At 50.7% G+C, this 23,657-nt stretch overlaps 1 protein-coding gene across 2 annotated transcripts, besides 7 other annotated features; it reads right to left on the reverse strand.

The window, feature by feature from the left end:
- On the reverse strand, nucleotides 42-5,184 carry CTSF (cathepsin F). 2 transcript variants are annotated; one of them, NM_003793.4, is made up of 13 exons: nucleotides 4,852-5,184; nucleotides 4,562-4,660; nucleotides 4,022-4,240; nucleotides 3,824-3,899; nucleotides 2,869-2,982; nucleotides 2,600-2,745; nucleotides 2,409-2,505; nucleotides 2,249-2,329; nucleotides 1,465-1,584; nucleotides 1,320-1,384; nucleotides 1,136-1,226; nucleotides 666-724; nucleotides 42-585 (listed from the first exon to the last, which is right to left on the reverse strand). In NM_003793.4, exons 1-13 carry the CDS (start codon nucleotides 5,062-5,064, stop codon nucleotides 511-513), a joined length of 1,455 nt encoding a protein of 484 aa, NP_003784.2. In that variant the 5' UTR covers nucleotides 5,065-5,184; the 3' UTR covers nucleotides 42-510. The 2 variants fall into 2 exon arrangements, with proteins under 2 accessions (NP_003784.2, XP_011543630.1); XM_011545328.3 differs by having other exon boundaries at nucleotides 4,749-5,184.
- Nucleotides 1,340-1,839: an enhancer, noted in NCBI's record as "H3K4me1 hESC enhancer chr11:66332233-66332732 (GRCh37/hg19 assembly coordinates)". NCBI's record gives its function as "activates a minimal SCP1, AML or CMV promoter by ChIP-STARR-seq in primed H9 embryonic stem cells {active_cell/tissue: H9 hESC(primed)}" and the evidence as "EXISTENCE:reporter gene assay evidence [ECO:0000049][PMID:30033119]".
- Nucleotides 5,233-5,302: a silencer, noted in NCBI's record as "silent region_3598". NCBI's record gives its function as "represses an Ori minimal core promoter by ATAC-STARR-seq in GM12878 lymphoblastoid cells {active_cell/tissue: GM12878}" and the evidence as "EXISTENCE:reporter gene assay evidence [ECO:0000049][PMID:35858748]".
- Nucleotides 6,676-6,970: a silencer, noted in NCBI's record as "tiled region #510; K562 Repressive non-DNase unmatched - State 23:Low". NCBI's record gives its function as "represses a minimal TATA promoter and a strong SV40 promoter by Sharpr-MPRA in K562 cells {active_cell/tissue: K562}" and the evidence as "EXISTENCE:reporter gene assay evidence [ECO:0000049][PMID:27701403]".
- Nucleotides 9,550-10,301: an enhancer, noted in NCBI's record as "OCT4-NANOG-H3K27ac hESC enhancer chr11:66340443-66341194 (GRCh37/hg19 assembly coordinates)". NCBI's record gives its function as "activates a minimal SCP1, AML or CMV promoter by ChIP-STARR-seq in naive and primed H9 embryonic stem cells {active_cell/tissue: H9 hESC(naive and primed)}" and the evidence as "EXISTENCE:reporter gene assay evidence [ECO:0000049][PMID:30033119]".
- Nucleotides 10,302-11,052: an enhancer, noted in NCBI's record as "NANOG-H3K27ac hESC enhancer chr11:66341195-66341945 (GRCh37/hg19 assembly coordinates)". NCBI's record gives its function as "activates a minimal SCP1, AML or CMV promoter by ChIP-STARR-seq in naive and primed H9 embryonic stem cells {active_cell/tissue: H9 hESC(naive and primed)}" and the evidence as "EXISTENCE:reporter gene assay evidence [ECO:0000049][PMID:30033119]".
- Nucleotides 11,663-11,863: a silencer, noted in NCBI's record as "peak1305 fragment used in MPRA reporter construct". NCBI's record gives its function as "represses an SCP1 promoter by STARR-seq MPRAs in K562 erythroleukemia cells {active_cell/tissue: K562}" and the evidence as "EXISTENCE:reporter gene assay evidence [ECO:0000049][PMID:32103011]".
- Nucleotides 15,294-16,107: an enhancer, noted in NCBI's record as "H3K4me1 hESC enhancer chr11:66346187-66347000 (GRCh37/hg19 assembly coordinates)". NCBI's record gives its function as "activates a minimal SCP1, AML or CMV promoter by ChIP-STARR-seq in naive H9 embryonic stem cells {active_cell/tissue: H9 hESC(naive)}" and the evidence as "EXISTENCE:reporter gene assay evidence [ECO:0000049][PMID:30033119]".

Consider the following 23,657-nt stretch of genomic DNA (forward strand, 5'->3'; position numbering starts at 1 on the left):
CATCTCTCCTCACCCCCGGGGACTGAGCATTTATACCACACTCGGGACAAGGACACCTCTTTATTGCTGTTAGAAAAGGGTGGTTACAAGTTTCCTGGACATGGAGAGGGACACTATCCCTAAATCCAAGGGAACCAGAAAATTTATAGTATCAAACAGAGGAAAGCGGGGGCAGAACAGAGCTGGGCTTAAGATCAGAAAATTTTCTTCCTGCTCATTACCCAAGCCCAGAGTTCTTGCCCCAGCTTCAACTGCCAAGATACCACCCTTCACCCCGACATCCTCCTAAGCTACCACAATTCAACAAAGGTGCAGGTGCAGAACTTCAGGGTGGGAATGGGGTGCAGGGAAGCAGGGGCTGTGCCCCAGCCCAGTGCCCTCTGCTCACCCTGAGGTACCCAGTGCCTTTCCCTCTGCCAGCTGTACCTCCCGGGGAGGGGCCTGGACACATGTCAGGCTGGGGCAGCAGCCACTCTGATCAGCACCAGGTCCCGAGCTGGGGGCCCCTCTTCAGTCCACCACCGCCGAGCTGGCCATGGTGTTCACGCCACAGGCCCCGGACCCACGATGCAAGTAGTAGTAACCCTGGGGGAGAGGGGGAGCTGGTGAGGGCACCAGGGTAGGATGGCGGCTGGAGGGCCAGGGGCCAAGCCAGCAAGACTCACCTTCTCACCCCAGTCAGTGCCCCAGCTGTTCTTGATGGCCCAAAAGGGAACGTCAGAGCCTGGGGTGCAGTGCAGAGCGCAAGGATCAGGGTCCTTAATTCTCCAGGCAGAGCCTTAATCACTTTGCACCCTTCAAATACTTGCACTGGGCCTACTGTGTGACAGGGACTAGGAAAAGAGCAGAAAGCGAGGGGCCCACCTACCAGCCTCAGGGAGAAGCCCTGGGGCAGGGAGGAAGCACGCACCCACCCGCCTATTGCAGGTTATTAGGCCATCAATATTTACCCTCCCACAGCTCAGCTTCCCTGCCATAGAGAGGACAGATGATGCCCAGCTGGTCATGGCCCAGGCAGTGGGTAAGGACAGGGTTCCTAGGCATTCCCCCTATTTCCCCTCTAGAGGACCTGAGATGCTGTGATCCCACCCCTGCCTGTGGCCTGGCTGGATGCAGGACAGGCAGCGGAACTCACGGTTGCCGTAGCCCACAAGCAACACCGCATGGTCAATGAGCCAAGGGCTGCAGAGGGGCCGGAGAGGGCGGGAGATCCCGTGGCGGTAAAACTGGAGGTGGAGAAGGAGTAGGGGATCGACTCCAAGAAGAGGTCGGGGAGGTCAACAAGAGATGGGGCAGGGGCAGTGGGGCTAGGGCCTCACCTGCATGCCAAAGGCATTGATGGCCACGGAGATTGGGCCTCTCTTGGCCAGCCAGGCTGCCAGCTCTGAGATGGGAAGGGGTGGCATCAGTAGGCACCCAGGCCCCGGCCCCACCTGACCTCACCTCACCCTGCCCCTCACTCACTCTGCTCGTTCTGGCTCAGCTCCACGGAGTCATTGATGTAGACCTTGGCCTTCTCTGCTGAGAAGTTGCAGGACTGCATGTGACCCTGGTAGCTGTAGTCATCCTCTGTCTCCAGCCCTCCTGGGGAACGGTGGGGGTGAGTAGAGAAGGGCAGGCTCCCATTTGCCATTCACAGCCAGAAATGAACTAAGCCCTCTACGCGAGGTTTCACATTCCTCGTCCACCCCAGGCCACAGGCCATCCCCTCTGAAGAATGTCTTCATTCTAGAAATGACACATCTGAGGCTGGGAGAGATGGGGAGGAGGGACCAGTAGCCAGCAAGAAAAGTGGCAGAGACAGAACTCAACTCCAACTTCTGACTCCTCACCAAGAGCTCATCCCAGCAGTCTTTCACCCAGGCTGGAGTACAGTGGCACAAACATGCCTCACTACAGCCTCAACCTCCTGGGCTCAAGCGATCCTCCTGCCTCAGCCCCCCAAGTAGCTGAGACTACAGATGCAAGCCACCATGCCTGGCTAATGTCTTTAATTTTTTGTAGAGATGGGGTCTTGCTATGTTGCCCAACCTGGTCCTGAACTTCTGGCCTTAAGTGATCTTCCCAAGTTGGCCTCCCAAAGTGTTGGAATTACAGGCATGAGCCACCACGCCTGGCTGGGTCAGCATTAAGACCTGGACCCAGTTCTGTGTAACTCTCATGCTCATGTCTCCCCCCCATTATGAAGTAACTTCTTGTACAGGGAGAAGTGGCTCCGGTTGCCCCTCCTGACCCCATTAATGCATACCCAAATTCTTTATGGCCGAGTAGGCATTGGAGGGCAAGCCGCCCATGCAGGCCTTGTCCATCTTGTCACAGTCCAAGAGCTCTAGGAGACAGAAGGCTGGTCCCAAGAAGCCCTCCTGAGGGGCTAGGCTGGGGACAGAGGAGTAGAGCGAGATGCTCACCCTGTTCAGAGAGGGAGAGCAGGGTCCCCTGGTTGAGAAACCACTGGCCCTCCACATTGCCTGTGACTGAGAAGGCCCAGCAGGAGCCACACATGCCCTACAAGAGATGGGTGGAGTTGGAGTCAGAGCCGGGCCCCTTCGTCAGCCCCAGTGCAGTGCCCATGTCCCACCCTCACTTCCAGGGGTCCAACCTGGTCTTTGACTTTTGTGACAGCCCCCTTACTCCTCCAGTCCCATTCAGGTGGGGCGAGGTCACCCACAGACTTGGCTTGCTTCATCTTGTTGCCAGGCTCTTTCCTCAGGAGAGTATTCAGGTAGATAGTGCGGAACTCCTCCTCTGCGGGCAAAGGTGGGCAGGGCATGGGGAGGAAGAGTGTTCTAAGCCAGACCTGACCAGAGGCCTTGCGAGCAAGGTCCTGTCTCTTCCTGGATCCATGAGGACTGTGGCCACTATCCCTACCTGTGAGATCACTGAACTTGGTGACTCCATACTGAGCTGTGCCACGGTCCAGGGCCTGGATCTTCTGTGCTCGCACCATGTTATTGACAAAGACGGACAGGCGCCACCGGGCTTCTGAGGACCAAGGAGCAGAAGAGGAGGGGTTCGACCCCAGGCAGATAAAAGGAAGGGCAATTGGGGCTAGCAGGCAGGGGTTTCCCCGGGGAGCAGGTAGGGGTGGGGGCCAGACATGCAAGTGATGGAGTGGGAGGTCTGATCAACTTTTAGGGCCAAACTGAAGTGATGACTTCCCAGGTGCAAAAGCAGTAAATGGGGTCTAAAGGACACCACCCACAAGAGGTGGTGGGGAAAGGCCATGTTGTCAAGGACTCTCCAGCACAAAAAATCCAGCCTCTGCCCCATCCCACCCTGCCAGAGTGATGGAGATGCAGAGCTTCTTTTTTTTTTTTTTGAGACAGAGTTTTCGCTTGTCACCCATGCTGGAGTGCAGTGGCACAATCTTTGCTCACTGCAACCTCCGCCTCCCAGGTTCAAGTGATTTTCCTGCCTCAGCCTCCCGAGTAGCTGGTATACAGGTGTGCGCCACCACACCTGGCTAATTTTTGTACTTTTTTTTTAGTAGAGATGGGGTTTCACCATGTTGGCCAGGCTGGTCTTGAACTCCTGACCTCAGGTAATCTGCCCACCTCGGCCTCCCAAAGTACTGCGATTACAGAGGTGAGCCACCACGCCCGGCCAAGACCCATGGCTTCTGAGCGGGAAGATAAGGTAGGAGAAGGGGCCAGGTACTCAGGGTGGCTGCCAGGCTGGGAAGGCTTAGGGAGAGCTCAGGAATTATGGGGTCCTTGAACAGGTACACTGCCTCTTGTCTTTCTCCTCCCACACACCAAGGTGCCAAGTTGGGGGGAAAGTCCTGTTCTGATAGGAACAGGTACAGCCAAGGCTGGGTCCTCACCTTCCTTTGACTCATATGTCCGGTTATAGGTAATGACAAAGTTCTTGAAGATTGAAGCCATCTTCACAGGCAAGTCCTGGATAGGCAGACCAGTCTTTAGGCTGACCAGAGAAACCCACTCCAGAGGGAAGGGAGAAGGGTGATGAGGCAGCGGCTGGCTCCTCAAGCTGAGGGCTCCTCAAGCTGAGGGCTCCTCACCTGGGACAGGGGATCCTCATTCAACAGGGAAATGACTGAGCTGAAAGTCTCGTTTCTGTTGTCTGGATGGTTTTGGGACAGAGAAGAAATCATGGCTGAGCCCTGAGTGAAGGCTGACTTGGGCTCCCCAGCACCTGGAACCTTGGTGTCCACTGGGCCACAGTCCTTCCGCAGCAGCACGTGTCTTCCGAGCTCATCCAGGACTTGGAAGCTGCAGAGCTGGAGGGAGAGGAAGAAGCTGCTCTGGGGGCCTGGATCTGGATCTGGGGAGCAAGATCTGGCCAAGATGGAGCTGGAGGCTCCTCAGATGAGAGCCACCCCTAAGGCAATCACCCCATCACAGTGGACAGTGAGGCACGGCCTGCACCGGGGCATCCTCCCCTTCATAGCATCTTGGTTTCCAGCCCTCGGGGCCTGGGAAGTGGCTCAAGGTGGGGCAGCAGCTACCTCAGATCCCTGCGTCTTGACCTGACCCGTCATCATCCAACTGCTGCTTTACTCGGCCTCGGGGCGGGGAACCCCAAGAGCCTCATCACTCACCAGGGTTTTCTTGGACACGGGGAGCCGGCACACCATGGGGTCGTTGCAGGGTGGCTCCTCCAGGGTGGCCTCCAGGGAGTACAGCGACCCCTGACCCGCCTGGAGAGAGGAGTAGGTGAGGCGGGCACAGTCGGCCCTTGACGGCGCCCAAGGCCCCGCCCGTGCGGCGCTGCCCATTCCCCATCACCAGAGATCGGTTCGTCCAGCGGGCAGGCCCCATCCCAATGTTAGGTCAAAGCTCCTATCCCTTGGACCCGGGCCTGGCGCCCCCGCCCCCGGCGCGTCCTCACCCGGCGGACGCGGCCGCGCACAAGGCCCAGCACGGCCCGCGTCCCCGCAGCCCGGCCGCGGTTGAACATCTCCAGCGCGAAGCGGGTGGGCGCCAGCAGCTCCGGGGACGGCGGCCCCCAGGCCTGAAAGCTGGCGGCTCGGGGCTGGGCGGGGGCGGCCACTGCGCCCGGGAGCAGCCCCAGCAGCGACAGGAGCTGCAGCCAGGGCGCCATGGCGAGGGCGAAGCCGGCGGCCCGGACCCAACAGACGCTCCACCGACCCACCGGGTACCGAGCCCGCGGCCAGCGGGGCCTGAGTCCTCCCTCCAGCGGGGCGACGGCACGCCGACCAATGGGCGCTGGTTTGCGGCGCCTGCGCGTTCTCTTGTTTACAGGAGGCACGTGGGGCGCGCAGGGTAGGGAGAGCGGGAGGCTGCTGGCCTGAGGCTAAAGCTAGTCACTGACCTCTATCACGTGCTTGTTATATGTTAGGCATGATATGCCAGCTCCTTTTATTCGGCGTAGCAATCTCTGAAGTAGGTGCTATCCCCATCGTACAGTGGAGGAAACGAGGCTTGGAGAGATTAAATGGCGTGGCCGGGCTCTGTGACTCAGCCCTGTAATCCCAGCACTTTAGGAGGCCAAAGCGGGTGGATCACCTGAGGTCAGGAGTTTGAGACCAGTCTGGCACACGTGGTGAAACCCTGTGTCTACTAAAAATACAAAAAAGAGCTGGGCGTGGTGGTGGGCGCCTGTAATCCCAGCTACTTGGGAGGCTGAGCCAGGAGAATCACTTGAACCCAGGAGGCAGAGGTTGCAGTGAGCTCAGATCGTGCCATTGCACTCCAGCCCAGGCGACAAGAGCAAAACTCCGTCTCAAAAAAGAGAGAGAGAGAAATATTAAGTGGCTTGCCAAATATCTGGTAAGGAATTGAGCTAAACTTAAATCCAGGCAGTTGGCTTCTGAGCCTGGGTTTGCAGCTTGATCGCCTCTTTCAGGCCCCTCTTCTCAACAGCGAGATGGCAGGTAATTTTTTGAGTGCTGGCAGCGTCTCAGGCTGTTGTGAGGTTCAAATGCAATCATGCAAGCATTCAGTAGCCACTAAGGCAGGGTGCACAGGGTTGAGACTGTCCCTTGAAGCATTCACCTGCTGTGTTCCAGGGTCTACCAAGGGAAAGCATGCACAGATGCATTACAGGAATAGTGCTGCGTTCTTGGAGCTCACAGTCTAGAGAGAAGAACGACAGATGGGCTGGGTGCAGTGTCTCACGCCTGTAATCCCAGCACTTTGGGAGGCCGAGGCGGGCAGATCACCTGAGCTCAGGAGTTCGAGACCAGTCTGGCCAACGAGGTGAAACCCCGTCACTACTAAAAATATTTTTAGGCCGGGCGCAGTGGCTCACGCCTGTAATCCCAGCACTTTGGGAGGCCAAGGTGGGCGGATCACGAGGTCAGGAGATGGAGACCATCCTGGACAACATGGTGAAACCCTGTCTCTACTAAAAATACAAAAAAATTAGCTGGGCATGGTGGCACGTGCCTGTAATCCCAGCTACTCAGGAGGCTGAGGCAGGAGAATCGCTTGAACCAGGGAGTCAGAGGTTGCAGTGAGCTGAGAGCGCACCATTGCACTCCAGCCTGGTAAGACAGTGAGACTCCATCTCAAAAAAAAAAAAAAATTGAAACTGCCTTTGCAAAATTATGACAGTAAGAGAAATCTGACATGGCTGACTGCATCTTGCTTTCTAGCCTCACAGGCTGGCTGTCTTCACTCATTCCTGGGCATGGGCCAAGGTAACTTTTGGATAAATTTAGCTTATACTTTAAATTAGAATACGCCTTCCTGAAAACTAAACCACCCTTGTAAAACTAATGAAAGGCCACCAAGTTAGGAGGATGAGAGGGGCCTGAATTCTACTAAGATGTAGGCATAGTTAAAGGATTACCAGCCATTGTTCTGGAAGTCACAAGATTTGCAACTTTGCCAGTTACTCCTGTAATTAACATCACTATCATGGAATGTAAGACTGATCTTTTGAGCTATCTCTTCCAGGCTTTTGCATTTGTGACTATGGAATGGCCCCACACTGACGTGTGACTCCACCAGTCCTGTGACCCCTACCCAGAAGCAGACTCAGTGCAGGAGGGCCATTTTCCACACTACTATGATTTCATTCCCAAGCAATCAGTAGCACCCATATCCTAGCCGCCTGCCTACCAAACTATCTTTGAAAAACCCCGACCTCCAAGCCTTCAGTGAGACTGATTGAGTAATAACCCTGTCTCCTGTGTGGCATGGCAGGTCTTGTGTCAGTTAAACTCGTTCTTTTCTGCAATGCTATGGTCTCTGAATTGATTTTGTTTGTGCAGTAGGCAGGAAGAACCCATCTGGGAATTACAAGATCATCTAGTTCAAACCAGAATTGCTACAGCAGCAGAGGTCTAGAGAGACAAAGTGACATTCCAGCTACTCAGACATTAGTGCTGGAGCCAGAGTGGAGCCATCTCAATGCTTCCAGTTGCCAGCTGAGGTCTGAGAGGAGAGGATCTGAGGGATTGCAGCAGATACTAATCTTTCCTTGATTATGCTCTTCCCTCTGTAAATTAAAAATAAAATTCTAATCCCCTCCAACCATCTGAATGGACCCTTCCTCCCAGTCAAAGACATTCCAACGTTAACCTCAACAATGATAATAGTTCAGGCCATAATGGGAAGTGGAAGTTAGGCATGTTTCATTATACTCTCCTCCCTTTGGAATTGAGGCACAACTGACCAGCATTAACATTACAACAGAGATTTTAGGCTGGGCATGGTGGCTCATGCCTATAATCCCAACACTTTGAGAGACAGAGTTGGGAAGATCACTTGAACCCAGGAGTTTGAGACCAGCCTGGGCAACATGGCAAAACCCCATTTCTACGAAAATACAAACGTTAGCCAGGCATAACGGTGTGCGCCTATAGTCTCAGCTACTTGGGAGTCTGAAGTGAGAGGATCTCTTAATCACAGGAGGTTGAGGTTGCAGTGAACCATAATTATGCCACTGCACTACAGCGTGAGTGACAGGGCAAGACCCTGTTTCAAAAAAAACAAAAAAAAAGGGCCGGACGCAGTGGCTCACGCCTGTAATCCCAACACTTTGGGAGGCCGAGGCAGGTGGATCACGAGGCCAGGAGATGGAGACCATCCTGGCTAACACGGTAAAACCCCATCTCTACTAAAAATACAAAAAATTAGCCGGGCGTGGTGGCAGGCGCCTGCAGTCCCAGCTACTCGGGAGGCTGAGGCAGGAGAATGGCGTGAACCTGGGAGGCGGAGCTTGCAATGAGCCGAGATTGCGCCACTGCACTCCAGCCTGGGTGACAGAGCAAGACTCTGTCTCCAAAAAAAAAAAAAAAAAAAAAGCCAGAGATCTTAAGACTTTTTTGCAGTACATTCAAGAATGTAGCAATAAGACATCAAATTCGGCTGGGCGCGGTGGCTCATGCCTGTAATCCCAGCACTTTGGGAGGCCAAGGCAGGCGGATCACCTGAAGTCAGGAGTTCGAGACCAGCCTGGCCAACATGGTGAAACCCTGTCTCTAATAAAAATACAAAAATTGGCCGGGCGTGGTGGCACAAGCCTGTAATCCCAGACACTCAGGAGGCTGAGGCAGGAGAATTGCTTGAATCCAAGACGTGGAAGGTTGCAGTGAGCCGAGATTGCGCCACTGCACTCTAGCCTGAGCAACAGAGTGAGACTCCATCTCAAAAAAAAAAAAAAATTAGTGGGTCATGGTGGTACATGCCTGTAGTCCCAGCTACTCAGGAGGCTGAGGCAGGAGAATCACCTGAACCCAGGAGGCGGAGGTTACAGTGAGCCGAGATTGCGCCATTGCACTCTAACCTGGGTGACAAGAGCAAAACTCCATCTACAAAAAAAAATAAAATAAAATAAAATACAAAAATTAGCGAGGCATGGTGGTGCGTGCCTGTAACCCCAGCTATTCAGGAGGCTGAGGCTTGAATCTGGGAGGCGGAGGTTGCAGTAAGCTGGGATCGCAGCACTGCACTCCAGCTTGGGCGACAGAGTGAGACTCTGTCTCAAAAAAAAAAGACACTATCCTGACTTTAGTATCACATGATAGATATTGATGTATTTTACCCTAAAATATACTTATTTGACATACTTTGAAATGGCCCTGCAAAGCTGTCCCTGTGGGGAAAATCTACATTCTCCAGAGTCCCTTTCCATTTCTAGGTCTTTTTCCTGATCCAGGAGAGACTTCACTAAGAATTTGGCTTTTTTTTTTTTTTTTTTTGAGACAGAGTCTTGCTCTGTTACCCAGGCTGGAGTGTAATTGTGTGATCTCAGCTTACTGCAACCTCCGCCTCCTGGGTTCAAGCGATTGTCCTGCCTCTGCCTCCTGAGTAGCTGGGATTACAGGCACTTGCCACCATGCCCGGCTAATTTTTTGTATTTTCAGTAAAGACAGGGTTTCACTGTGTTGGCCAGGCTGGTCTCAAACTCCTAACCCTGTGATCTGCCTACCTCAGCCTCCCAAAGTGCTGGGATTACAAGTGGGAGCCACTGTGCCCAGCCGAATCTGGCATCTTACATATGTATGTATGTATGTACGTATGTATTTATTTTTGAGACAGAGTTTCACTCTTGTTGCCCAGGCTGGAGTGCAATGGCGCCATCTCAGCTCACTGCAACCTCCGCCTCCTGGGTTCAAGCGATTCTCCTGCCTCAGTCTCCCTAGTAGTTCCTGCCTCAGCCTCCCTCGTAGCTGGGATTACAGGCATGTGCCAGCACACCCAGCTAATTTTTGTATTTTTAGTAGAGATGGAGTTTCACCATGTTGGTCAGGCTGGTTTTGAACTCCTGACCTCGGGTGATCCACCCACTTCGGCTTTCCGGCCTCCCAAAGTGCTGGAATTATAGGCATGAGCTACCATGCCTGGCCTCTGGCATCTTTTTAAATTTGATAAGAAACATTTACAATCTATTATCTCTGAAGCTTGCTACCTGTAGGCTTCATCTGCATAATAATGTTACAGTCCGCCGGCGGGGTGGCTCATGCCTGTAATCCCAGCACTTTGGGAGGCCAAGGCGGGCGGATCACAAGGTCAGGAGATTGAGACCATTCTGGCTAACAAGGTGAAACCCCGTCTCTACTAAAAATACAAAAAATTAGCTGGGCATGGTGGTGGGCACCTGAAGTCCCACCTACTCGGGAGGCTGAGGCAGGAGAATGGCACGAACCCAGAAGGCGGAGCTTGCAGTGAGCTGAGATCGTGCCACTGCACTCCAGCCTGGGTGACAGAGCAAGACTCTGTCTCAAAAAAAAAAAGGTCTGTGTCAGGCCTCTGAGCCCAAGCCAAGCCATCACATCCCCTGTGATTTGCACGTATACGCCCAGATGGCCTGAAATAACTGAAGAATCACAAAAGAAGTGAATATGCCCTGCCCCGCCTTAACTGATGACATTCCACCACAAAAGAAGTGAAAATGGCCAGTCCTTGCCTTAACTGATGACATTACCTTGTGAAAGTCCTTTTCCTGGCTCATCCTGGCTCAAAAAGCTCCCCCACTGAGCATCTTGCAACCCCCACTCTGCCCGCCAGAGAACAACTCCCCTTTGACTGTAATTTTCCTTTATCTACCCAAATCCTATAAAACGGCCCCACCCTTATCTCCCTTCTCTGACTCTCTTTTCAGACTCAGCCCGCGTGCACCCAGGTGAAGTAAACAGCCATGTTGCTCACACAAAGCCTGTTTGGTGGTCTCTTCACATGGACGCGCATGAAATTTGGTGCCGTGACTTAGATCGGGGACCTCCCTTGGGAGATCAATCCCCTGTCCTGTTCTTTGCTCCGTGAAAAAGATCCACTTACGACCTCAGGTCCTCAGACCCACCAGCCCAAAGAACATCTCACCAATTTTAAATCGGGTAAGCAGCCTCTTCTTACTCTCTTCTCCAACCTCTCTATCCCTCAACCACTTTCTCCTTTCCACTCTTCAATCTCTCCCTTCTCTTAATTTCAGTTCCTTTTATTTTCTGGTAGAGACAAAGGAGACACATTTTATCCATGGACCCAAAACTCTGGCGCCGGTCACGGACTGGGAAGGCAGCTTTCCCTTGGTGTTTAATCATTGCAGGGATGCCTCTCTGATTATTCACCCACGTTTCAGAGGTGTCAGACCACGCAGGGATGCCTGCCTTAGTCCTTCACCCTTAGCGGCAAGTCCTGCTTTTCTGAGAGAGGGGCAAGTACCCCAGCCCCTTCTCTCCTTGTCTCTACCCCTTCTCTGCTTTTCTGGGGGAGAGGCAAGAACCCCTCAACCCCTTCTCCTTCACCCTTAGTGGCAAGTCCTGCTTTTCTGGGGGAAGGGCAAGTACCCCAACCTCATATCTCTGTGCCCCGATCCCTTATTTCTGCACCCCAACCTCTTATGTCTCTGCGCCCTGATCCCTTATTTCCGTGCCCCAACCTCGTATCTGCGCCCTGACCCCTTTCCTGCTTTTCTGGAGGGTAAGAACCCCCGAACCGCTTCCCTCCATGTCTCTACTCTCCCTTTTCTTTAAACTTGCCTCCTTCACTATAGGCAAACTTCCACCCTCCATTCCTCCTTCTTCTCCCTTAGCCTGTGTTCTCAAGAACTTGAAACCTCTTCAACTCACACCTGACCTAAAACCTAAATGCCTTATTTTCTTCTGCAGTGCCGCTTGACCCCAATACAAACTCGACAGTGGTTCCAAATAGCCAGAAAACGGCACTTTCAATTTTTCCATCCTGCAAGATCTAAATAATTCTTGTCGTAAAATGGGCAAACGGTCTGAGGTGCCTGACGTCCAGGCATTCTTTTACACATCGGTCCCTCCCTAGTCTCTGTGCCCAGTGCACAGAGACTTTCCCTCCTATCTGTCCCCTCAGTCCCAACCCCAAGTGTCGCTGAGTCTTTCTAATCTTCCTTTTCTGCAGACCCATCTGACCTCTTCCCTCCTCCCCGCTCCCCAGGCTGCTCCTTGCCAGGCGGAGCTAGGTCCCAATTCTTCCTCAGCCTCCACTCCTCCACCCTATAATCTTTTTATCACCTCCCCTCCTCACACCTGGTCCGGTTTACAGTTTCATTCCGTGAGTAGCCCTCCCCCACCTGCCCAGCAATTTCTTCTTAAAAAGGTGGCTGAAGCTAAAGGCATAGTCAAGGTTAATGCTCCTTTTTCTTTATCCGACCTCTCCCAAATCAGTTAGCATTTTTTAGACTCCTTTTCATCAAATATAAAAAACCCAGCCCAGTTCATGGCTCATTCGGCAGCAAGCCTGAGACGCTTTACAGCCCTAGACCCTAAAAGGTCAAAAGGCCGTCTTATTATCAATATACATTTTATTACCCAATCTGCTCCCGACATTAAATAAAAATCCAAAAATTAAATTCTGGCCCTCAAACCCCAAAACAGGACTTAATTAACCTCGCCTTCAAGGTGTACAATAATAGGGGCAGCCAAGTAGCAACATATTTCTGAGTTGCAATTCCTTGCCTCCACTGTGAGACAAACCCCAGCCACATCTCCAGCACACAAGAACTTCCAAACGCCTAAACCGCAGTGGCCAGGCGTTCCTCCAGAACCACCTTCTCCAGGAGCTTGCTACAAGTGCCAGAAATCTAGCCACCAGGCCAAGGAATGCCCGCAGCCTGGGATTCCTCCTAAGCCGTGTCCCACCTGTGTGGGACCCCACTGGAAATCGGATTGTTCAACTCACCTGGAAGCCAGTCCCAGAGCCCCTGGAACTCTGACCCTAGGCTCTCTGACTGACTCCTTCCCAGATCTTCTTGGCTTAGCAGCTGAAGACTGACACTGCCCGATCTCCTCGGAAGCCTACAAGACCATCACAGACGCTCTAGGTAACTCTCACAGTGGAGGGTAAATCTATCCCCTTCTTAATCAATACGGAGGCTACCCACTCCACATTACCTTCTTTTCAAAGGCCTGTTTCCCTTGCCTCCATAACTGTTGTGGGTATTGACGGCCAGGCTTCTAAACCTCTTAAAACTCCCCAACTCTGGTGCCAACTTAGACAATACTCTTTTAAGCACTCCTTTTACTTATCCCCACCTGCCCAGTTCCCTTATTAGGCCGAGACACTTCAACTAAATTATCTGCTTCCCTGACTATTCCTGGAGTACAACTACATCTCATTGCTGCCCTTCTTCCCAATCCAAAGCCTCCTTTGTGTCCTCCTCTTGTATCCCCCCACCTTAACCCACAAGTGTAAGATACCTCTACTTCCTCCTTGGAGACCGATCACGCACCCGTTACCATCTCATTAAAACCGAATCACCCTTACCCCGCTCAATGCCAAGATCCCATCCCACAGCACGCTTTAAAAGGATTAAAGCCTGTTATCACTCGCCTGCTACAGCATGGCCTTTTAAAGCCTATAAACTCTCCTTACAATTCCCCCATTTTACCTGTCCTAGAACCAGCAAAAGCTCCCCTGCTGAGTACCTTGTGACCCCCACTCTGCCCGCCAGAGAACAACCCCCTTTGACTGTAATTTTCCTTTATCTACCCAAATCCTATAAAACGGCCCCACCCTTATCTCCCTTCGCTGACTCTCTTTTTGGACTCAGCCCGCCTGCACCCAGGTGAAATAAACAGCCATGTTGCTCACACAAAGACTGTTCGGTGGTCTCTTCACACGGACACGCATGAAAATCTGCAGCAATTTTTACAAGAGAGTGGAGGGCCCAGCAAGCTCAGTCGGTAGAGCATGAGACGCTTACATGGGAGTAAAGTTTAATTTATTTTGTTTTTCTTTCTCTCTCTTTTTTTTTTTCTTTTGAGAGGGAGTCTTGCTAATTTACACCATTCTCCTGCCTCAGCCTCCTGAGTAGGTGGGACTACAGGCGCCCACCACAACACCCAGCTAATTTTTTGTATTTTTTTAGTAGAAACAGGGTTTCACTGTGTTAGCCAAGATGGTCTTGATCTCCTGACCTCGTGATCCGCCCGTCTCGGCCTCCCAAACTGCTGCAAACTGCTGGGATTACAGGCGTGAGCCACCACACTGGGCCTTCTTTTTTTTTTTTTTTTTTAAAGACAGGCTCTTGCCAAACACGGTGGCTCATGCCTATAATCCCAGCACTTTGGGAGGCCAAGGCAGGTGGATCACCTGAGGTCAGGAGTTCGAGACCAGCCTGGCCAACATGGCAAACCCTGCGTCTACTAAAAATACAAAAATTAGCCAGGGGTGGTGGCATGCACCTCTAACCCCAGCTACTCAGAAGGCTGAGGCAGGAGAATCACTTCAACCCAAGAGGCAGAGGTTGCAGTGAGCTGAGATTGCACCACTGCACTCCAGCCTGGGAGATGGAGCAAGACTTTGTCTCAAAAAAAAAAAAGTTGCCAGGTGTGGTGGTGGGTGCCTCTAATCCCAGCTACTTGAGAGGCTGAGGCAGGAGGATTGCTTGAGCCCACAAGTCCAACCTAGGCAACACAGAGAAACCTGCATCTCTCTTAAATAAAAAATTTTAAAAGAGGGTAAAATCATAGCCTTTGGAGTCAGACTGACCAACCTGGGTTCTAATTCTGGTTCTGCCTCTTCGAATTGACTATGTGACCATGAGCAAGTTACTTTGTTTTTGGAGCCTATTTGTACATACAGAAAGAGCACCTGGCCTGATTAGGCTCTTCTGATCTTTAGTAGACATGAGCCAGGCATGCTGGACACCCTGCAGTGTTTGGGACAGTCCTGCAAAACAGATCATTGTTCCATGTCCTGCACAACTTTCTAATGTCCTATAAGTTATTTACATGAGTGGAAAACCTGCTTATAGTTATGAGCTGAAAACCCTAACTCTGTTAGTTATGTAAACACATTATATTATATACACAGTTTTAGTATATACTGAATTTTCCAGGAATGTAGCTAAATGTAAATCAAAAGAATTTTCCTTACATGAGCTCAGATCTTTACAAGGAGTCATTCACCATTCACAAGATCATGTCTCTGAAGTTAACATGCCTGTATCAGTCTGTATTTAAGAGTGGTCCCAAGCCAGGCTCACACCTGTAATCACAGCTGCTTGGGAGGCCAAAGAGGGAGGATCACTTGAGGCCAGGAGTTCAAGACCAGCCTGGGAAACATAATGAGATTTCATCTGAAAAAAGAAAAGAAAGAAAGAAGGAATGAAGGAAGGAAGGAAGAGAAAACAAAAAAGAGAACAGTCCCACTTCACAATGACCATTTCAGATGTCTTCTAGTGTGATCCTGACCAAGGCTGTGCATATGGAAATGTAGATTTCTTTCTTTCTTTTTTTCTTGAGATGGAGTCTTGTTCTGTCACCCAGGCTGGAGTGGAATGGCGCGATCTCTGCTTGCTGCAACCTCCACCTCCCAGGTTCAAGTGATTCTCCTGCCTCAGATTCCCTAGTAGCTGGGATTACAGGTACGCAGCATCACCACACATGGCTAATTTTTGTATTTTTAGTAGAGACGGTGTTTCACCATATTGGCCAGGCTGGTCTGGAACTCTCCACCTCAAGTGATCCACCTGCCTCAACTTCCCAAAATGCTGGGATTACAGGTGTGTGCCACTGAGGCCGGCCAATATTTCACTATTATATTATTATTGTTATTATTTATTATTATTATTTTAGTAGAGATGGAGTTTTGCCATGTTGCCGAGGCAGGTTTCCAACTCCTGGGCTCAAGTGATCCGCTGCCTCGGCCTCCCAAAGTGCTGGGATTACAGGCGTGCGCCACCGCGCCCGGCCTACCTCTTTCTTTTGAGGCCACCCCTTCTTCCCACCGCTAAGCGTTCCAGAATCCACAGTGATTAATTCGTCCGAAAGAGCAGGGGAGTGAGGGAGGACTGGATTCTGAGGGTGCTGGCAGAACAACTGGAGTCGGGGGTCCACGGCGGTCATGACTATCGACACACGGTGGCGCTGTTGAGGCTCGGTCCTGCGCATTCCCGAGTGTCAGGAGCCCTGGAAGAAGTTGCAGGCTTCTCACCTCCCACGCAGCCACTGCACTCCGAAGCGCAACCACTGAGTCAGGGAGGCAGGGCCAGAGAGGAGTTTGGCATCACCGGATAAAAATCAGCCGTAATTTACATCCCCTACGTGTGGCTAAAAGTTAAAATGGACAGATCTGGGTCCTGCGCTTCACACCACCTACATAGCATCAACGCCTGGATGTCAAACTTAGCCAGAGCTGCGTATTGTTTTCATCCTCACCCGTCCTCAGGAATCTCCCATCCCAGCATATGGCATCACTATTCCCCCAGCTCTTCAGTCCAGAGAATTGGAAATGTCATTGATTCTTCCTTTGCCTTCATGCCGCACGTCTAGCCCATCTCCAAGTGCCCTGGAGTCCAGCCCTCCCCCCAATATCTCTCCAATCTGTCCACTTCTCCCCATTCCCGTAGCCGCCGCTTATGACCAAGCCCTCACCATTGCTTGCCTGACCGAATCCACTCCTGCCTCCAACAAGCTCCTCTGCAGGCCACAGCTGGAGGGACCTCCTTAAACATAAACCGGCCGGCACGGTGGCTCACGCCTGTAATTCCAGCGCTTTGGGAGGTCAAGGCAGGTGGATCGCCTGAGGTCAGCAGTTCAAGACCAGCCTGGCCAACATGGTGAAACCCTATCCCTACTAAAAATACAAAAATTAGCTGGGCATGGTGGCGCACACCTGTAATCCCAGCTACTGGGGAGGCTGAGGCAGGAGAATTGCTTAAACCCGGGAAGCAGAGGTTGCAGTGAGGGGAGATCCTGACACTGCACTCCAGCCTGCACAAGAGAGCAAAACTCTGCCTCAAAAACAACGATTGCCGGGCACAGTGGCTCACTCCTGAAATCCCAGCACTTTGGGAGGCCGAGGTGGGCGGATCACGAGGTCAGGTGTTTGAGACCAGCCTGGCCAACATAGTGAAACCCCGTCTCTACTAAAAATACAAAAAATTAGCTGGGCATGGTGGAGGGCGCCTGTAATCTCGGCTACTTGGGAGGCTGAGGCAGGAGAATCGCTTGAAGCCGGGAGGCAGAGTTTGCAGAGAGCCGAAATCGTGCCACTGCACTCCAGCCTGGGCAACAGAGCGAGACTCCATCTCAAAAAAAAAAAAAATTACAATATCACATTACTTAAGATGGGGTATAGGTGAATTTGATCAAGTATGATAAGGTTGGGGCTCCCAAGAGGGACTAAGGTCAACAAGGGTGAAAAAATGGCACGGCTTGGCCCTTAGTTGGTTTGCCCTAATATTTGTAGAATGAATGAATGGATGGGGATGGATGGGCATATGAATGGATAGAATGGATAGATGGATAGAAGGATAGACATTCCAGGCCCCAGGCTGGAGTGCAGTGGCGCAATCTCGGCTCACTGCAACCTCTGCCTCCCAGGTTCAAGCGATTCTCCTGCCTCAGCCTCCCAAGTAGCTGGGACTACAGGCACCCACCACCATGCATGGCTAATTTTTTGTATTTTTAGTAGAGATGGGGTTTCACTGTGTTAGCCAGGATGGTCTTGATCTTCTGACCTGGTGATCCGCCCACCTCGGCCTCCCAGAGTGCTGGGATTACAGCTGTGAGCCACCGCGCCTGACCATGGGCCTCATGTTTTGAGACCAGACTTCTTTCCTGGACTGAATTCATCTCAGGGACTGTCCCTTAGCCTTGCGTGGGCAGCTCTGATCCACCTCCAGATCTTCCTGCTGAATCACGTCAAGAGTTAGATTGGGATACTGACTTTCCCCACCTCCACTCCCACCCCTAAAAGCCCCAGGGCCTCATACACAAATGGATTCACATCCTCCTCACTACTTTCTTTGCCAAGATCTCAGGCTATAGCACTTTAGAGCTTTCCAAAAGCTTCCTGTTACACCATAATCCCAGAATGACCTCTAACTCACTTCACCTTTGCATAACTCAGAGGAGACATTCAACAACAATCATAATAATACTCAGCTAGTGCTTGCTTTGGGCTCAGTGCGAAATCCTTCTCAGGAATTATCTTTTAATTTAAAAAGGTCATCTTAGGTGGTCTGAGGCCTGCAGACCTAGGAGGGCATGACATCTTAACAATTAAATCCCTGCCTTAACCAGCTGGCAAGTCGTCATTTGGAGGTTTGGTCAGATTTACGTATATTGATTTAAAACCTGAAGCTAGTCACACACCTGGACTAACACCACCATCTGTGGGGTGGGGGTGGGTACAAGTGTGGAAGCCTGTGATGCAAGAGCTGCAAGAAATCTGTCTGGGCCGGATGTGGGGGGCCCATGCCTGTAATCCCAGCACTTTGGGAGGCCAAGGTGGGAGGATTGCTTGAGGTCAGGGGTTTGAGGCCAGGCTGGGCAACATAGTGAGACTCTGTCTCTACAAAAAAAAATTTTTTTTCTTTTTGAGATTAAAGTCTCACTCTGTTGCCCAGGTTGGAGTGCAGCAGCACAATCTCAGCTCACTCCAACCTCCGCCTCCCAGGTTCAAGCGATTCTCCTGCCTCAGCCTCTGGAGTAACTGGGATTACAAGCATGAGCCACCATGCCTGGCTAATTTTTCTCTTTTTTTTTTTTTTTTTAGACAGAGTCTCACTCTGTCACCCAGGCTGGAGTGCAGTGGTGCCATCTCAGCTAACTGCAACCTCCGCCTCCTGGGTTCAAGCGATTCTCCCGCCTCAGCCTCCCGAGTAGCTGGGACTATAGGTGCGCACCACTACACCTGGCTAATTTTTTGAGTTTTTAGTAGAGACAGGGTTTCGCCATGTTGGCCATGCTGGTCTCGAACTCCTGACCTCAAGTGATCCACCTGCCTCGGCCTCCCAAAGTGCTAGGTTTACAGGTGTGAACCACTGCACCCACCCTAATTTTTGTATTTTTAGCAGAGATGGAGTTTCACCATGTTGCCCATGCTGGTCTCAAACTCCTGACCTCAAGTGACCCACCCCACCTCAGCCTCGCAAAGTGCTGGGATTATGGGCCTGAGTCGTTGTGCCCAGCCTACAAAAAAAGTATTTTTTTTTTGAGATGGAGTCTCGCTCTGTTGCCCAGGCTGGAATGCAGTGGCGCCATCTCAGCTCATTGCAAACTCTGCCTCCCGGGTTCACGCCATTCTCCTGCCTCAGCCTCCTGATTAGCTGGGACTACAGGCGCCCGCCACCACACCAGACTAATTTTTTGTATTTTTAGTAGAGACGGGGTTTCACCGTGTTAGCATGTTAGCCAGGATGGTCTTGATCTCCTGACCTATGATCCACCTGCCTCGGCCTCCCAAAATGCTGGGATTATAGGTGTGAGCCACCACGCCCAGCCCAAAAAAATTTTCTTAAAGAAAATGGAAAAATTATAAATTCTCTCTCTCTCTGTTTTTGCCATATCTGTGGAGTCCTGATGTTAGAAATGCTTCTTCCCCAGTGCCACAAAGAAATAGCACTTGAACATAAATTTAATTTTCTCAGCAAGGCCATTTTTACTTCCTGCAGAAAGGGTATACTCGCCAGCAGTTTTGCCACGAGAGTGCACTGAACAAAGGAGACTGGGTTGTTTATAACCTGATGGATCCACCCTACTGCTGTGTCCAATTTCCATTGGCTGGAAGAGGACCTCACATTCTGTATTTGTCCCGATTGGCTAGCAACTTAGAACTTTCTAAAAGAGGCAAAGGCAGAGAACAAAGGAAGAAGGAAGTAACTTGTGGAATGCTGAGAAAGGTAAAAACACCTCCAAATAAGGAGGAGGAACAGGCTATGACCTAATGCTTGCTTGGACCAGTATAAGCATGGCAGGGCAAGTATTTAGGCTAAATTGTGGGAGCTAAGAACACAAAGCACATTGATTTTTTTATTACAGCTAGCAGATATCTAAGAATGTTAGCACAGATATTTGAATACATTTTGCTTCTAAGAGAAGTTACTATTTATTCCTAATTAGACAGGGAGGAAAATCTCTTTGAAGAGGAATCTCTACTTTACTTTTTACACTTATAAAATCAGTAAGCAACAAGAGAGGAGTCCCAGGTGGGGGAGAACAATTGTTCCAAGAGACAGTTAATCACAGACAAGTCACTGGCACAACTTCTGTTCCCCAATACCTCTCTTCGCATGTAGCCCCTCCAGGACAACCCTGTAAAACTTCCCTCCAGCCCCTGCCTCTTTGCAGACAGCCCCGTCTCTGCTGTGCTTCCCATTGCTTCCTTGCATCGTACTCTCCCTCTGATAAATCTGCCTTTCTTTCCCCATGATTGTCTTGGTAAATTCTTTTACTGCCCACAACACTGGCTCCAGCCAGTCGCACCTGCAACATATTTCTCTCTGCCTCTGCCTCTCTCTTTTTTTCTTTTTTTGTAGAGACAGAGACTCCATCTCCTTTTTTTTTTTTTTTTTTTTGAGACGGAGTCTCGCTTTGTTGCCCAGGCTGGAGTGCAATGGCATGATCTCAGCTCACTGCAAGCTCCGCCTCCCGGGTTCATGCCATTCTCCTGCCTCAGCCTCCCAAGTAGCTGGGACTACAGGCGCCTGCCACCAAGCCCAGCTAATTTTTTGTATTTTTAGTAGAGACAGGGTTTCACCATGTTAGCCAGGATGGTCTCGATCTTGGGATCCACCCTCCTTGGCCTCCCAAAGTGCTGGGATTACAGGCATGAGCCACCGCACCCGGCCTCCATCTCCATTTTAAAAAAAAATAATAATAATAATTTTAAAAAATCTCAAGGGCTGGGCACAACGGTCCATGCCTGTAATCCCAGCACTTTTGGGAGGCAGGTGGATTACTTGAGCTTAGGAGTTCAAGACCAGTCTGAGCAACATGGTGAAACCCCATCTCTACTAATAATACAAAAATTAGTCAGGCATGGTGGGACATGCCTGTAATCCCAGCTACTGAGGGGTCTGAGGCACAAGAATCACTTGAACCCAGGAGGTGGAGATTGCAGTGCACCGAGATCATGCCATTGCACTCCAGCCTGGCTGACAGAGTACAACTCTGTCTCAGAAACAAACAAGAAAAATATTTTTAAAAAGAAATCTCACCAGGCGCGGTGGCTCACACTTGTAATTCCAGCACTTTGGGAGGCTGAGGTGGGCAGATTGCCTGAGGTCGGGAGTTGGAGACCAGCTTGATCAACATAGAGAAACCCCGTCTTTACTAAAAAAATACAAAATTAGCCGGGAGTGGTGGTGCATGCTTGTAATCCCAGCTACTCGGGAGGTTGAGGCAGGAGAATCGCCTGAACCCGGGAGGCAGAGGTTGCAGTGAGCCAAGATCGTGCCATTGCACTCCAGCCTGGGCAACAAGAGCAAAACTCCATCTCAAAAATAAATAAATAAATAAATAAATAGTAGAAATTGGGTGACTCCAAAGCCCGTGTCTTTCTGCTACCATGGGGATAAGGGAGAACAAGGCACCAGGAGGTCCTTTTTTTGAGACAAAATCTTGCTCTGTCGCCCAGGCTGGAGTGCAGTGGTGCGATCTTGGCTCACTGCAACCTCTGCCTCCCAGGTTCAAGCAATTCTCCTGCCTCAGCCTCCCGAATAGCTAGGATTACAGGTGTGTGCCACCATGCCCAGCTAGTTTTTGTATTTTTATTAGAGATGAGGTTTCGCCATGTTGCCCAGGCTGGTCTTGAACTCCTGACCTCTGGTGATCCACACACCTCAGCCTCACAAAGTGCTGGGATTACAGGTGTGAGCCACCGCGCCCGGCCAGGAGGTCCTTTTTGACATTGGTTCCAACTCATCTTCTGCCATGGCCCTGTGCTCACTGCCTATTCATAGAGCCCCACTGCCCCACTTTGCCCCAACCATTAAAGTCTTCTGTCCTGTAGACTCCTAATTGTTGTCAGCTTTTAACCATGAACTCAGCTAAGAGACTAGGCCACTGGCCTGGGAGGAAAGAAAAAGAAAAAACAAACTGGGCAACTGCTATGTGCTGAGCAGCCCAATCACTGTGCCCAGCAGGGAGTTTCCCATACCTCCGCTCATTAATGCCCACAAAGACCCCCAAAATCTACCAGCTCATGCCCAGGCTAGTCTCGAACTCCTGAGCTCAAGTGATCCGCCCACCTCAGCCTCCCAAAGTGTTAGGATTATAGGTGTGAGCCACTGCGCCCGGCCACCACAATCAATTTTAGAGTATTTTCGTCACCCCTAAAATAAACCCCATACCTATTAGCAGTCACTCTCATTTCCCCCAACCTCCCCCGGCCCCTGGTAACCATTAATCTAATTTTTATTTCTATGAATTTGCTTATTCTGGATATTTCATATAAATGGAATCATCCAATATGTGATCTTTTGTGTCTGGTGTCTTTCATTCAGCATGATTTTTTTTTGTTTGTTTTGTTTTGTTTTGTTTGAGATGGAGTCTTGCTCTGTTGTCCAGGCTGGAGTGCAGTGGTGCAATCTCTGCTCACTGCAACCCCTGCCTCCCAGGTTCAAGGGATCCTCCTGCCTTAGCCTTCTAAGTAGCTGGGACAGGCGTGCACCACCACACCCAGATAATTTTTGTATTTTTGGTAGAGATGGGGTTTCACCATGTGGACCAGGCTGGTCTCAAACTCCTGACATCAGGTGATCTGCCAGCCTCAGCCTCCCAAAGTGCTGGGATTACAGCTGTGAGCCACTGCACCCGGCCTCCATGTTGTCCTTTTTATTATGACTATTGCTATCCTAGTGTGTGTGCAGTGGTATCTTATTGTGGTTTTGATTTGCCTGTCTTTAGTAAATATGATATTGAGCATCTTTTTATGTGTTTATTGGCCATTTGTATATCTTCTTTGGAGAAATATCTATTCAAATCCTTCACCAATGTAAAAACTGAGTTATTTGCCTTTCTTAATTGTTAAGATTTATATATTCTAGATACGATTCCCTTATCAGGTTTATGATCACAGATATTTTCTCCTATTCTGTGTCTTTCACTTGCTTGATGGTGTCCACAGAAGCACAAGTTTTACATTTTGATCTATCACTTATTAACTGTAAGACCTGAGCAGGCCTGATGCAGTGGCTCACACCTGTAATCCCAGCACTTTGGGAGGGCAAAGTGGGACGATGGCTTGAGCTCAAGAGTTCCAGCCTGCAGAGAGCTATGATTGCACCACTGCATTCCAGCCTGGATGACAGAGAAGGACCTGGTCGCTAAGATTTTGAGCAAATTGCTCTGCTTCTCTGAGCATTTCTCACCTGTGAAGTGAGCATGATGATGTCTTGTAGGCATAGGATAAAACTATAATGAGGTGAGAAACACAAAGGCCAGATCACAGAGCTTGGTTAGGCTCAGGTAGAATCTATACTTAGCCGAGACTCTCGTGGGAGGAAGGGAATGTCTCTGAGGCTGCAGGTCATGGGTGATCCACAGGACTCCCCATGCCTCTTTCCCCCATTATTTCCACTGTATGTGTTTATTGGCTCTGTCTGAACCTACTCCTTGAGGGCAGAGATTTCTCAGCTTTCCTGATTGCTGCTTCTTCACTGCCTAGCACACTGCCACACCCATAGACAATGTACATCAAATATATGATGGATGAATGAAAAGGAAATGAAATCCCCCACTCAAGGCTGCACTCCAGCCTGAGCAACAGAGCAAGACCCTAGCTCAAAAATATATATATATATATTTGGGGCCAGGCACGGTGGCTCACGCGTGTAATCCAAGCACTTTGGGAGGCAGAGGTGGGCGGACCACGAGGTCAGGAGATCAAGACCATCCTGGCTAACAAAGTGAAACCCCGGCTCTCCCTCTCCCTCTCCCTCTCCCTCTCCCCACGGTCTCCCTCTCTTTCCATGGTCTCCCTCTCATGCGGAGCCGGACTGGACTGTACTGCTGCCATCTCGGC

This window comes from Homo sapiens, chromosome 11, assembly GCF_000001405.40.
Source record: "Homo sapiens chromosome 11, GRCh38.p14 Primary Assembly".
Lineage (NCBI taxonomy): Eukaryota > Metazoa > Chordata > Mammalia > Primates > Hominidae > Homo > Homo sapiens.